This window comes from Homo sapiens, chromosome 12 (assembly GCF_000001405.40).
Source record: "Homo sapiens chromosome 12, GRCh38.p14 Primary Assembly".
In the NCBI taxonomy this organism is placed as follows: Eukaryota; Metazoa; Chordata; class Mammalia; order Primates; family Hominidae; genus Homo; species Homo sapiens.
The window spans coordinates 22617169-22632333 of record NC_000012.12 but is presented as its reverse complement, the minus strand read 5'-3'; the positions used below and the strand labels follow the sequence as shown (position 1 = coordinate 22632333).

The 15165-nt window shown below is 38.0% G+C and overlaps 1 protein-coding gene and 1 long non-coding RNA gene across 8 annotated transcripts in view, besides 3 other annotated features; one reads left to right on the top strand and one right to left on the bottom strand.

The window, feature by feature from the left end:
- Positions 1 to 7163, bottom strand: part of ETNK1 (ethanolamine kinase 1) — a 65495-nt gene extending 58332 nt beyond the window's left edge. For all 6 annotated transcript variants that reach the window (NM_018638.5, XM_017019580.2, XM_047429100.1 and 3 more), the window contains exon 1: positions 6748 to 7163. In NM_018638.5, coding sequence (NP_061108.3) covers positions 6748 to 6903 — 156 coding nt within the window. In that variant the 5' untranslated portion in view covers positions 6904 to 7163. The remainder of the gene's footprint in view (positions 1 to 6747) is intronic.
- Positions 6040 to 6729: an enhancer, noted in NCBI's record as "NANOG-H3K27ac hESC enhancer chr12:22778539-22779228 (GRCh37/hg19 assembly coordinates)". NCBI's record gives its function as "activates a minimal SCP1, AML or CMV promoter by ChIP-STARR-seq in naive H9 embryonic stem cells {active_cell/tissue: H9 hESC(naive)}" and the evidence as "EXISTENCE:reporter gene assay evidence [ECO:0000049][PMID:30033119]".
- Positions 6749 to 6918: an enhancer, noted in NCBI's record as "active region_6100". NCBI's record gives its function as "activates an Ori minimal core promoter by ATAC-STARR-seq in GM12878 lymphoblastoid cells {active_cell/tissue: GM12878}" and the evidence as "EXISTENCE:reporter gene assay evidence [ECO:0000049][PMID:35858748]".
- Positions 7288 to 15165, top strand: part of ETNK1-DT (ETNK1 divergent transcript) — a 36040-nt gene continuing 28162 nt past the window's right edge. Inside the window, exon 1 of one of the 2 annotated variants that reach the window (NR_135030.1) lies at positions 7288 to 7661. This is a non-coding gene — a long non-coding RNA (ETNK1 divergent transcript). The remainder of the gene's footprint in view (positions 7662 to 15165) is intronic. The other variant, NR_135031.1, reaches the window with a different exon arrangement.
- Positions 7449 to 7518: an enhancer, noted in NCBI's record as "active region_6099". NCBI's record gives its function as "activates an Ori minimal core promoter by ATAC-STARR-seq in GM12878 lymphoblastoid cells {active_cell/tissue: GM12878}" and the evidence as "EXISTENCE:reporter gene assay evidence [ECO:0000049][PMID:35858748]".

Below are 15165 nucleotides of genomic sequence, written 5' to 3'. Positions count from 1 at the left end.
ATGTTTAGGAGAAGTAGAAGGTAATAAAAATAAAACGGTTGTGAATAGAATATTGATGATAGGAAATTGATTTTTTTCTCCTATTCAGTTTTAATATAATATTGTGGTACAACCTTTTAGTAAAACTAAATTATTTCATGTTCATACGGTTTCCTGTACAAAGACCTTCATGCACTTATTATTTTCTCAGAGTACTTATTTTCAAAACAGAATTAATTCAAAACATTCTATTTTGTTAATTAGAAAAAAAAAAAATCTGCTATTAAGATTACCACTAGAGGGAGGGAGAGATCAAGACTATGAAGGAAAATGAAGACACTTGGTTGCTGGAAATTAATTTTCTTTTCCTGGGTTGGGGTGGGTATATGTTTTACAACAATTTATGATTCATCCATTTTTCTATATGTTTGCTGTTTTTCACAATTTTTAAAAGAATGTTAAAAATGTATTTATAGCCAATCTGGTATATCAAAGAGTAAAATAACTCCTTAGAAAACAAAATAAAGAGAAATAGAACCTCTGATTTCTTAAAGGTCTTCTACTACTTCCCTATCTTTGTCATCCACTCCTTCCCCTACAAAAAACACCTTAATCTTCTTTCTTCCCTAACCTGTAATCAATTGACAAGTCCTGCACATTTATTTTCTGAAATGTGAAATCTGTACCTTATTTCCATCTCATCTGTCCTAATCTGGGCCCCAGCACCTCTTGTCTGGACTAACACAACAGTCTCTCTCAAATTATTTTCTCAAACTTTTTAAATGCAATACACAGGAAGAAATATATTTATCATTTGATATAATATGTACATAGACACTTTTACATAAAACTAAAGCACACTTCACAAAAGAATACTTACCACCGGGCGCAGTGGCTCACACCTGTAATCCCAGCACTTTGGGAGGTTGAGGAAGGTGGATCACCTGAGGTCGGGAGTTTGAGACCAGCCTGACCAACATGAAGAAACCCCGTCTCTACTAAAAACACAAAAATTAGCCAGGCGTGGTGGCAGGCGCCTGTAATCCCAGCTACTCTGGAGGCTGAGGCAGGAGAATCGCTTGAACCTGGGAGGCAGAGGTTGCGGTGAGCCGAGATCACGCCATTGCACTCCAGCCTGGGCAACAAGAGCGAAACTCCATCTCAAAAAAAAAAAAAAGAGTACTTACCTTACTACTTGCAAGGCTCTGTCTGATGTAACCTCTACCATAACTTATTCTAACTCATCTTTTTAAACTGTAATGGTCTCAAGACACTATATTGATTTGGCATCCTATTAATGTATGGTAACCACTAGTTTCAAAACCAATGTCCTGAGTGATCATTATTTCCCAATTTAAAACATTTCCCTCAAACAACCCTTCTCTACATTGTTGCCTGTCACTTCTCTAATACATGATATAATTTACCTGCTTAAAAATATCCAGGCCAGGTGCGGTGGCTCATGCCTGTAATCCCAGTATTTTGGGAGGCCGAGGTGGGTGGATCACTTGAGGTCAGGCATTCGAGACCAGCCTGGCCAACATGGTGAAACCCCGACTCTACTAAAAATACAAAAATTAGCTGAGCATGGTGGCGCACATCTGTAATCCAAGCTACTTGGGTGGCTGAGGCACGAGAATCACTTGAACCTGGGAAACGGAGGTTGCAGTGAGCTGAGATCACACCACTGCACTCCAGCCTGGGCTACAGCGAGACTCTGTCTCAAAAAAAATAAAATAAAATAAAATAAAATACAAAAAGAAAAATATCCAGTGGCTTCCCATGATGTCCTAAATGATGAGTAAGCTACTCAAAGTCTAGCTTCATTGCCTTTGTGAGATAGTTTTCCTTGCTCAGAAATGTTTCCCTTTTCAATCTGATCTCATCTACCCTTCAAAGCTTAGCTCAGGTACCCCCACCTCTATGAAGCCTTCTGTCCTACGTTCTTCTATGCCTACCTTGTGCTACAGTTAGTTGTACAAGGACTCTTACTGAAAACTAGCATTACAGCTAGTACAAAAAACACATGTCAGAATTACTGAATTTTAGGAGCTCACAATTCTCTCAGTTGGGATGGGAGAATTGGAAATGAGAGGTGGAAGAACGTAGTACCAAAACATGCGATGCGTAATTGTAGGTATTTCATTGAATTCTCATGACTACTTTCCAAGGTAATACCATTTTATAGAGACTTTAAAACTTGCCAAAGGTTATAAATGGCTGGAAATAATATTCAAAAACCATCCTCTTTCCACATTATGCTCAGTCCCCAAAAAGATGTGACGCAGTTTGTGTAGTCCAAGTTACATGGCTATTATACAGGAAAACAAACTAGCACTTTAGGCTCCTGTCTTCATAGTCACATCTTAATAAAATACATGGGAGCCTAACAAATATTTCATGTTTTTGATGGGCGTCTATTAAACATTATATACTTTATTATTCTAAAATGCTGAAGACAGGGAGGGAATAGGAAACAGAAAACTGGATGTAATCACTAACATTAAAAGTTACACTGAATATAAACCATGACTCCTTATTTGTATCTACAGGACTCAAGATTTCCTATAATCTTAGGGAAAGTAAACTAATATATTGTTTACTTTTTTAATATATTAAAAAATTAGCCGTAACTTACTACATTAGCTTACCTAAGACTTTTCAGAAGCTACTGCTTAAAGGAACAAACTCATCTTTTTAAAAACAGAAAAGAAAATCAATTATTATATCAGAACACTAGTGGAGACATAACTTAACACAGCAATTGTATAGATCTGGCTTTTTCTTCTTCCTTTAAGGCAAAGACCAATATAAAATATCAACTATCAATATTAAGAGGAGTTACAGGTTTTTAATAGATTATTTAGGTAACTACCTCCAACACTGTTAGAAAGAGGAAGGATATGAAAACTGCTGTGTAGCTACACAACCTAACACAAAGATTAATTTCCATGATAGAATACATATGCTTAAAAAAATGATGAAAAGATTTTTTAAAATATGCATTCAATAACAGGCAAAAACCTGTAGTAAAGCAGAAAGAACAGTACATTTTTTAAACTTCTTGGGTAATCTTTGCATGTGAACTAAATTTGAATGTTCATTCCATAAACATTACGTTGTTATAATTTTCTTATTTGTCTTCCCCATCGGACTAGGAATTTCAAAGAGCAAATATTTGTTTTTTGATTCAAGTATCCAATATATAGTAGGTGCTCAGCAGCAATAATAATTATCATGAAAGACAGCATTTATTTTACCCTCACAATAACCCATTGAGGTAGGGACAACTACTGGATCAATTTTACAGCTCAGGATACTGAGACAGGAAGTTTAATGATTTGACCAGAGTAACAAAGCTAGTAAAGTATAGAATCTGGACTCAAAACTAGCACTGTGTTCAAACCCCATGCTCTTGAGCACTGTAACACACTGTTATTGAAAAGCTAAGTTGCTATAAGGTACCATATAGCAAGCAATCTCATTTAGACCCAACAAAGGAATAAATATATTAGTTTTGTAATGTTAAATAATAATTACGGTATTAATTCCTACCTATGAAGCCTTTGCCATTATCTACTATAAGTCCCAAGTAATGGAAAAATTCATAGTGACAAGTTAGTGAGAAAAACAACGTTGCTTAATACTGCAAACAGAAAGACCCTGAGACAACATAACTGGAATATTCCAAACACTAATTCATCAGCTCTTCAGAAAATGAAAAACAATTTTAAGAGTCCGTTGAGAATTATTATGGACCTGAGATCTGACTTGATTCTTTATTCCTTTATACGATGACTCTCCAAAGAAAAGTATAAAAATTAAAAATCAAAATCTTCAAATAAGTTAAACAGTTGTTACACAACAAAAGTAACTCGTGAAGGAAAGCTTAAGTAATCCCTTTTTCCTAAAATGGTGTCACATATGAAAAAAGTAATGCAAATTTATGTTCAAGGGAACTTTAAAGCAGAATCTTTTTATGAGCCAAAGCTTTTAAGAAATTAATTTTATACAGAAGCACCTTCCCTGCCTAAATCATAATATACAAACAAAACTCTTGGTCATAGAACAATAATTCATAAGATGGTTTATCATCTCAGATCTGCCATTTGTAAACGGCAAATTCAGTTTCATTAACTATATGATACATATTAACAGTACCGTCTACATCTACCTCACAGGATAGTTGGGAGAATGCATGTGAAAGTGCTTTATAAACAGTAAAGGATTATTAAATACAAAGCACTGTGGCTGTATTGTTGTTTTAGATTTACTCTGCCTATTCTGCTACTATACTCCGAAAACCTCACCATCTCCTTTATAATTTATTCTTTTAATCTAGTAAGAACAGGAATTCTGTCTAAAATGAGATATATTTACTCCATGTACCCACAAATTCTGAGCAAAGACTGGGCCTTCTATCATTTTGACTCTAGTAAGTCTTTTTTAGCTTGTTTTTTTCTTTTTATTTTCTGATATGCTCTGGATAGTTCAGCTTGCAGGAATAATCAATCACCAGATAAGTATTACTACAGTAAGTTTCTAAAGTACATTTAAAGTATATCTTAAACATACAAAAATGTTAGAAAAAAACTGAGAAAAAAACAGGCTACATTACTGATACTCGACTGCTCTAAAATTACATTATACTCTGTCGACTATATAATACATACTTCCTCTGAAATGTGAGGTATGATTCTTATCTATTTCAAGGGAAATACAGTAAAATCTCAAAAGAAAATATTTCCTTTGAGATTTACTAAAGAAATTCTGAACCATTATGAAAGTAGTGTTTGCAATGACCTAGAATGCAAGGAGCCAGATCTACTGAGTTGAAAGGTGAATAATCATCAATTCAGCTTAGCAGATGCTTTTAGGACAGCTTCTAGACCAAAGCTTTGCTTGCACATGGAGGGAATGTATTTCTAACTAATAATCATCTTAGGGAAAAATAAATGGTAGTATTTACCTGCACTTACAAATATTAAAAATTCGGATTATAAACCCAAAGGTCTTTAGGTTAAAAGTTGCTACAAGAAACCAAGATTTAAACACACGTAGTTACTTTCCAACAAGCAAAAACAGTTTAATGTCACTACATTTTGCCCTTTTTTACCTACATCCTGGCTTACTTCACTGAGTTTCACCTAAAATGATAGTGCCTACCTAATATGGTTGTTCGGGCGACTAAGATAAAAAAAAAATAATTTAACTAACCCCACAGTAGCTATTATTACTATTCTACAGACAAATACATCAAAGGAAATTCCAGTCTTCAAAGCTTTAAACTTTAAAGTCACTGCTTAAAAGTAACTGATCTGCCAACACTAGAGTTTACCAGGAAGTAGCACTTTTTAATTAATAATGTTTTATGTATAAGTGACTGCCAGAAAACAAATCATCTTAATAAATTTTAGAGTCTTATATAATAAAATACAAACAAATTGATAAACTAAACAAGTACTGAATTTCAATTTGGAAGACACATTTCCTTTAAAGGAAATATATTTTTTAAATGACATAAAAATCACTTTGGATTCACTATTTCCTATATTCTCGGCTAACAAATACTCCCTTAAATTTCAAAATTTGTTGTCTAACAAGTTTCTTCTCCAAAACATACGGGTCCTTTAAAATAATCTGCTTAAAAACTCTTCTAGGTAATAAGAACTGAAACTAACACATGAAAACCCAAGTGTCAGGAACTGTTCTGGGCCCTAGGCACTGCTCATGTTTTATTCATCTTTGTGTGGGTGGCTGGCTAGTTTAGCGAAGAATTTAGCAAATAAATCAACAAATATTGGTGAATAAATTAGTCATCAAAACGAGGCAGATGATTTGGCTAATTCAAATGAATGTTCTTACATTATTGCTCAGATTTAGAACAAATCCCAAATATCCCAATCTTGAAAATTACTGTTTTTTTTTGTTTGCAAGGGAAAAGGAGAAAAAGAGATCTATTTTTGTATCTAGTTCCTGAAACTAAAGCTAAAAACAGATTAGTATTCAAAAAAAATCACGTAGTGGAAATCATAACTTCCAACTTATTAGAAAACTCCTAGAGTCTCAGGGATTTTTTTCCTCCCAATTTTTTCTCTATCAACACGGTGTCTCATGAAAAGGAAACAGTCACAAGCCACTGCTCCTTCTAGTATCAGGTATTAATTTCAGTAAGACGACTTTAATAATTCAGAAATATCGACTCAAACAAAACAATGTGTGTGGTGCTGCCTAAGAACCGACCTAGCGATGCATGGTCGTGGTCATTACTTTGGGAATTGAGTACGCTAGGGTTTGGGAAGACAAAACGCAGTGTGAGGCATCAATGAAAGCACATCGCAGGGGGAGGGGAGAGGAAGGAAAGATCAGAGAGGATTAATGACTGCATTACTGGTGGGAGGGGAGGAGGTAGACGAGGACCCCGTGCAAGGGGAGTGGAAAGGTTCATTTTGCAGTGACCGTGGACTGGGGAGTGGGAGGAGGGGCAACTATCAGCAGGAATCTCCCCCCGTGGATGGGTCCGTCACTTACGCAGCGGCTTCTAGAAAGAGAAAATGTGCCTCAGGTCAATCTCAAAGAGCAACTGCGACGGGAAGGGGGAGTGACCCTCCTAGGTGTGAGGGGAAATACAGGGTCACTTCCCAATAGACTTAAGGAGATGTTGCCCTAGGTCCTCCTCGGTCATCGTGGGACAGAGGCGATTGTGGTGAGGACCCCCAGAGCCGCGTGAGGGGCATAAGAGACCCAGAGCTGAGGTGTGGGCGTTACCTGCAGGGTCACCTCCTGGGGGTCCCAGTGAGGCCGCAGGTGTTGCAGGAGGCTCAGGGCCCCCTCCCGGCAGCGATGCTCCTCCTGATCCTGAACGGTGACGTTCAGCTTGGGCACCTCCGGGGAGCCGGGAGGGACGTGGATGTAATTGGCCATGGCCCAGGCGACGGCGGAGACTACCACCACGACGACGGCGACGGCGACCACGAGAACGGCGGGCGCCGACAGACTGGTGGATCCTTCCGTCCCGGGGCGCCCTCGCGGGAGGGCTGGGGGCGCTGGGACGGGCGGGCGAGCGGCAGGAGAACGTCTGGAGGCGGCACTGTTGCCGATCCGGGTCTGGACAGCAGCTGAACTGAGCCCGGCCCGCTCTCGGAGAAAATTCCTGTTGTCGGAGCTGGACCGCGGGCGGCCGCAGAGCATGCCGGGGCTGGCCTGACGCTGGCGTCACGCGCGGGGCGGGTCCTGCGCTGCGTCAGGGTGCCGAGGCGGGGTTTCTCGCCTCCGGTCACAATGGGACCTCTGTACCGCGCTGGGCTTGTTGGCCTGCGATTAGCACACACCCATCCCTGGGAACTGCTAGTCTGGAAAGCGGGGCTGCTTCTCCGGGATGAGCCCGAGCCCTGCCAAGCCCCTCAAGGCATTGAAGCTTTAGCTCACCTTATCCGAATGGTCATTGGGCATCTGGACTTGAGTTAACGACTGAATTTTTCTGGGAAGCAAGGGACACGTTCTAAAATAACCCCAGGATCACTCTCCGAACTTGGCCTGAGTCTAGGCAAGCAGTGTTACTCGGTCGCCTTGATCTTGGAGCTGCTGTGTACTGGGGACCTCATACTAGTTGGGTTAACTATATTCCCATTAGCAGTACGCGGGATCGCAGTACTCGGGACAAGCTGAGTTCAGGTATTTGGGTAAGACAACTGCAACACTTCAGAGGTTATTTGTGGAGTAAGATGTTCGACCATACAGTGAATAATTCGAAGCTAGGGAGAACAGATTAGAGTCTGGTATGAAGAAGAAAGGGAAGGAAAGGAATAGTTTTGAAGCTCAGCGCTAGAACGACTCGATGTCCATGCCAGGGTACCCCGAGTGGGCCTTGAAATCTTGCGTCTCAGTGCCTTACAGGGAATGGTAGAAACTGGAAAATCTACAAGTAAAGTATTGGGACCTCCTAATTTTCCTTTTAGATGGAGGAAAACGGGCTGGGATTCCCTGCAGCACTTAGCACACGGTGAATACGTTTGTTAGTAGTAAATAAAACCCTTAACTGGACTGAGTTTAATTAACATTCAAAATGTTTAATTACTTCACTAGCATTAAGTTTACATCCTGATTGTTCAGAAAGAACCTACTTACCTTTGTAATTAACAAAATAATTACTTCACCGATAACGGTAAACTTCCTAAACTAAAAAGAGGGGTGGAAATGGAGCTTTATAATACAGCAAAGAAGTTGATTTAACATTTTTCAAATTTAGTGGTTTTTTTGTTTGTTTTTTGTTTCTGTTTTTTTTTGTTTTGTTTTTGAGACGGAGCCTCACTCTGTCGCCCAGGCTGGAGTGCAATGGCGCGATCTTGGCCCACTGCAACCTCCGCCTCCCGGGTTTAAGGGATTCTCCTGCTTCAGCCTCTCGAGTAGCTGGGATTACCGGCGCGTGCCACCACGCCCAGCAAATTTTTGTATCTTTAGTAGAGATGGGTTTCACCATGTTGGCCAGGCTGGTCTCGAACTCCTGACCTCAGGTGATCCACCCACCTCGGCCTCGCAAAGTGCTGGGATTACAGGCGTGAGCCACCGCGCCCTGCCAGATTTAGGCATAATTTTCTACAAGAAACATTAGAGTGTGTGTTCCTTCCACTTTGGGGAGAAATCATAAATATACTACTACTTTCACATTTCAGATAGTATCTCTTGTATTTTTGTATAAATTGTATTTTTTATTAAGCAGTTGACATTTTAAGAATTTTAAAACTATGTAACTGTAAAACAATTTAATTGAAAATTATGTTGCAAACTGCACTAGTTTGTAATGGTAAATAAGAGTCCATTAACAAGTAGAAGAAAAGAAAAAAAAACTATTAGGTACCTGAGAACAAAAGTAACCGAAAATGTACAGGATCCATGGATAAAATTAATGGAGAAATGAACCATATTCATAAATGAGAAAAGATTAATGTAAAGGCCTCAATTTTCCCTGAACTAATCAGTACATATAATGCAATTCCAGTTAAAATCTCAAAAGGGTTTTTTTACTGAACTTGTTAAAATGACATTGAAATTCATATCAAAACTTAAGGTCCAAGAAAAGCGCTGTAATTGGGGAGAGGAGGATAGGGACAGGTAAGATCAGGGAATATATTGGGAGGACCAACCCTACCAGGATGTATTATATATTGGTTTAGGTATGGGCAAATAAACTACTAGAACATAATAAAGTCCCAGAACAAAACCTACACACATATGAGAACTTTGTATATAACAAAAGTAGCATTAAAAATTAGTGAGAAAGTCCAGACTGATCAATGAACCGTAGTGATACAATTGCTTTTTGTATGAGAAAAAAATTTTGATCCCTCCCTCTTATTATGCATAAAAATTAATTTGGGGAAGATTAGAAACCTAAATGTTAAAAGCAAAACTTTAAAAATGTGCAAGAAATATCAGTTCTTATCAACCTGATCTACTGATTCAATTCTAATCACCTCAAGTTATGTTGTGGATATCAGCAAACCAGTTCTAATGTTTACATGCAAAGCCACAAGAGCCAGAATAGCCAATACAATATTAAAGAAAAACAAAGTGAGAAAACAGACAGACTTGAAGACAGTATAGCTGGGTGCAGTGGCTCATGCCTGTAATCCCAGCACTTTGGGAAGCTGAGGCAGGAGGTTCGCTTGAGCCCAGGAGTTTAAGGCCAGCCTGGGCAACACAGTGAGACCTCATCTCTCCAAAAAAAAAATTAGCCAGGTGTGGTGGTGCACACCTGTAGTCACAGCTACTCCGAGGCTGAGACAGGAGGATTGCCTGAGCCCAAGAGATTGAGGCTGCAGTGAGCCATGATCAAGTTACTGCACTCAAGCTTGGGCAACAGAATTAGACCTTGCCTAAAAAAAGAAAAAAAAATAGTATATGTTCCAATAATCAAGACAGTGTAGTATTGAAGCCAAGGCGAGTGAATCACTTGGGGTCAGTAGTTTGAGACCAGCCTGGCCAACATGGTGAAACCCTGTTTCTACTAAAAATATAAAAATCAGCTGGGCGTGGTGGCAGGCACCTGTAATCCCAGCTACTCGGGAGGCTGAGGCCGGAGAATCACTTGAACCTGGGAGGCGGAGGTTGCAATGAACCAAGATCACACTACTGCACTTCAGCCTGGGTAATAGAGTGAGACTCTGTCTCAAAACCAAAAAAAAAAGACAGTGTAGTACAGTGTAGTATTCTCAAAAGAATAGAGAAATAGATCTATGGAACAAAATAGAGTCCAGAAATAGATCCACACAAATATAGTCAACTAATATTTAATATTTAACAAAGGAAAAAGGCAATTCAAATTTTCAATAAATGGTGCTGGAACAACTGGAGATACACTTGCAAAAAAAAAAAAAAAAAAGAAGAAGAAGAATCCAGACACAGATCTTACACCTTTCACAAAAAGTAATTTAAAATGGATCATAGACATAAATATAAAACACAAAACTATACAATTCTTAGAAAGCAACATAACAGAACATCTAGGTGACTCTGGGTTTGGCAGATACTTTTCAGATGCAGCACCAAAAGCACAACCCATGAAAGAAAACTGTTAAGTTGTACTTCATTAAAATTAAAAACTTTTGCTCTGCAAAAGATAGTTAAGATAATGTAAAGACAAGCCACAGACTGGAAAAAATGTTTGCAAAACATATTCAATAGAAGACTTCTATTCAAACTATACAGAGAACTCCTTAAACTTAACAATAGAAAAACCCAATTTTAAAATGGGCAAATGATCGGAACAGATATCTCATCAAGAAGATATACAGATGGCACAAAAGCATGTGAAAACATATTCAACATCTAAACAATGAGATACCATCACATATCTATTGGAACAGCTGAAATCCAAAACACAACCAGCCAAATGCTATGAAGATGTGAGGAGGAACTATCATCACTGGTAGGATGCAAAATGGTACAGCCACTTTGGAAGACAGTCTGGCAGATTCTTACAGAGTTAAACATAGCCTTACCATACAATCTAGCAATCATGTTCCTTGGTATCTACCCAGATGACTTGAAAACTTACATCCACACAGAAACTTGCACACTAATGTTTCTAGCACCTTTATTCATAACTGTCAAAAATTGGAAGCAACCAAGAAAATAGGTGAATGTACAATAAAAACTGCTACATCCATAAAATGGAACATTATTGAATGATGAAAAGAAATGAAGGACCAAGTCACAAGAAGGGAAGAATGGAGCATAGGAGATTTTTAGGGCAATGAAACTATTCTGTATGATATTATAATGGTGGATACATGACATTATAAATTGGTCAAAACTCACGGAACTATGCAATACAAAGAGTGAACCTTAATATAAACTATGGACTTTAGTTCATATTTGTATTTTTGTCAATCCACATACTGCCTTGCAGTAGTAGCTAATAAATGTAAATTAATAAAAAAGTCAGAAAATATAGGATCAGATCTCTATGATTGCAAGTTAAAGAAGGATTCCTAAACAGACTCATAAAGCACACACTATGAGGGAAAAGGACTGATAAATTTGAAAACATTAAAATTTGAAACCTCATGACCAAAAATACCATGAAGATAAATGACAAGCCATAAAAAGATCAGATATTTGCAATGTGTATGATCAAAAAGTATTTATACTCAGGATACTACTAATAAATAAGAAAGTTAAACCACCCAGTAGAATAACTGGCAAACAAATAGCAGTTTGAAGAAAAGGAAACCCAAATAGCCAATAAACTTTTGAAACTATACCTCCCTAATTGTAATGTCTAATAATTAAGATAATATAAATTAAAATAATGAGATACCATTTCACACCATTAGATTGGAAAAAATTTTGAAGTCTGATAATGCCAAGTGTACATTTCTTGTGGAGAAGTAAATTTATTTGTAAAAACTTTGGAAAACAATTTTGCAGGTTTTTATCAAGTTAAAGGTAGACATCCTTTACCACCCAGCAGTTTCAATTCCAGGTACATGCAAAAATCCCATACCATGTACTTGATAAAGTGTGTACAAGAATGTTCACTGCTGTCTTGCTCCTTGTGTTGCTAAAAACTGGCAGCAACCTAACTGTCCCACAATATGAAAATGATTGGATGGATGGACAGTTAGATCAATAGATCATTAGATGTTAGATAGATAGGAATATATTATAACAGAATAAAGATGGAAAATGGAGCATATGCATCTACTTATGCATCTATTCAGGAGCCAACAGGGACCCTAGAAGTCAAAATTCAAGCAATAGTTCTGGAAACCCAACAGCCCTTCTGGTTAGTTGAGTTCTCTGTGTCTTCTCTCCACCTGTTTTTACCTCTCTTCTGTTTCTGATTGCCTAGTTTTGCTTCCTCATGATTTCTGCCTACTGGCTTCTTTTCACGTGTCTTCCTATTATTTAGATCTTACTAAAAAGTTGTTCCCTGGAGGGGCATTTCCATCCATCACTTCCCTTATCACAACAACCTGTTTTTATTTTTTATATATCATGAAACAACGTGAGTTACCTTGAAATCAATGTATTCACTTTTTTTTTTCAGCAAAGCAGCAAAAGTTTATTAAGCATAGTAACACTCTCAGAGAGGGGAGAGTGCGCTGACCTCTGTGAAATGAGATCAGCTAAAATCAGTGTATTTTTTATTTACCTTTTTAGTGTCCCTCTTATGTATTGGAATGTTACCGCCAGGAAAGCAGAGCCACAGCTTGTCTATTGCCACATTTCCACTGCCTACAATAGTGCCTAGAACATAAAAGATAATAAATAAATGCTTAAGCCCACCTAAGTAGTTCTGAAACTCTGCCAGTGTCACATAAGAATAGCCCTCAGCCAGGGGCTGTATCCACTTAACTCATTATGCTGAAATCACCTGCCTGATTATTTCCTAGACCACTGGCCAGCCCACTAGTTATCTTTGAGTCTGGAAAAAAATCTTAGCTACAGGGTGTCAGTAAAATATTCCAGCAACTTGCAACACACGTCAAGAGAATATAACATAGCTATGAAGATGTAACATTATTTTGAAGTATCCAACACATTTAATAGTCCCTTTCCCATACTTCACATGGCATTGGGACCCTCCAATACCTGGAATGTCCTGTCTCCTATGTCTGCTTCTTACACCCTCACTCATCCTTCAAAGCTTAACTCTCCAGCAGTCTTCTTCATGGAGCTTATCTGGATTTTCCTAGTCCAAATTTACTTCTCCCTTTTATGTATCTGTTAAAACACCTACAAAATTCTGCCTTATGACACCCACATTGTGTATTTAAGTCATAATGATTATACCACATATAAAAGACTAGAAAAGCTGTTTCTGACTTGTTACATAATGAGCATTTGTATGAGGGAATGAAAGGATCACTAAATATAAACCCGGGGGTGCTCTGGTTGTTACATGACAAGGGTCTGAATTCAGACCCCAAGAGAGGGTTCTTGGATCTCATGCAAGAAAGAATTCAGGGCGAGTCTGCAGTGCAAAGTGAAAGGAAGTTTATTAAGAAAGTAAAAGAAAAAAAGAACAGCTACTCCATAGACAGAGCAGCCTGGGGGCTGCAGATTGCCTATTTTTATGGTTATTTCTTGATGATATGCTAAACAAGGGGTGGATTATTCATGCCTCCTCTTTTTAGACCACATAGGGTAACTTCCTGACATTGTCATAGAATTTGTAAACTGTCGTGGTGCTGGTGGGAGTGTAGCAGTGAGGACGACCAGATGTCACTCTCGTCACCATTTTGGTTTTGGTGGGTTTGGGCTGGCTCCTTTACTTCAACCTGTTTAATTAGCCATCCCTCTTGTTTCTTCTAAGCAGCAGCCAGAGATCACTGGTTGGTTTACAGGAATAAGCAGGGTTGGCCTAAATTGCAGAAGCAAAAACAACTGATGAGACTAGAATTTAATAGCAAGTATACCATAGTTATTGAAACATAATCTCTGTCTCCAGTTTCCCATTTTTACTAAAGACAAATTATGGTAAGACCAATTTGCTTTATTAAACTTGGCCTGATTATTTGTATAAACTGCAGCAAGAATCATTATTTACCATATAGGCTTTTTAACTGGCTTTGATAGAACTTTGTTCCATAAGGAATCTCAGATAAGACTTTTTTAGAGCCAAGTCCTGCCATGGGTTTGTACCCTCAATATGTGATTTAAGTAAATTTCTTTCCTCTTGGGGTCCCAAGAAAACTTGGGCCTTCTGGGCCTAAGAGAAAGTGACATTCTTTACTTACCACAGGTCAGAAACCCTGTACAAGGGACTGTGTAGGCAAGGTATGAGGCCAGTTCCCCAAAGGGCTTTTATTGGCTTTAAAAGTCAAGTTTGACTCCTTAAAGGAAAGCACACCATTCCAGTTAAAGCCTTGGTAAAATAACCAATTTCTCCAATTGTGTCCTGTTGCAAAAGAAAACTGATTCTTATTGCACTTATGCAAATAACCACATTGCTGTAAGTTCAGAAAGCTCACAAATAGTCTCCAAATTCTAGAGAAATCAGGTAGAGAAACAAATATGCTCCAAATGTTATTCACAGCAGTATAGGTTACTCGATTGCTACAAGCTGTAAATAGCTCAAAAGAAAAGTTTTCTTGACCCTGAAAAACAAAACAAAGGATCAGCAATGTTTTAAGCAAAAAGTCACAAAGATTACTTCTGTTTTTTATTGATTCTGGTTATTTAGTTAACTCCTGTTTTGCTTGATATTCACGAACACTTTAGCTCTCTGACAGTTCTGAAAGGTGTTTCCTCTATTCTAATGTCACAATTTTCAAAGTTATCAGAAACCTGCATTTAAGAATACCTGTTAGAGTTCTATAGCTGATTATAAACCACCATCTAAAGAGGGTTAAAACAAGACAAAAATTGTCTGTGGATGACAAAAACATCTTAGGACAGCTACAGTCAAAACCACGATTGACAAAGAAATTTTGGTTACCTCTGTGGCACACAATGATTTTATGTAACAATATAACTACTCATAACATACACTAAGCCATATTAGAATTATAGAAGTTTCCCATAATTTTGGAACATATGCTAATAACACATTTACAGCCCAAAGGAAACCAAACACCATTTCATATTTGATAATGCTTCCTATATAACTTTTATACCAAATAAGCCAAATGTCACTGTTTCATTAGTGCATTATTGACTTCAAACCAAATTCTTAAT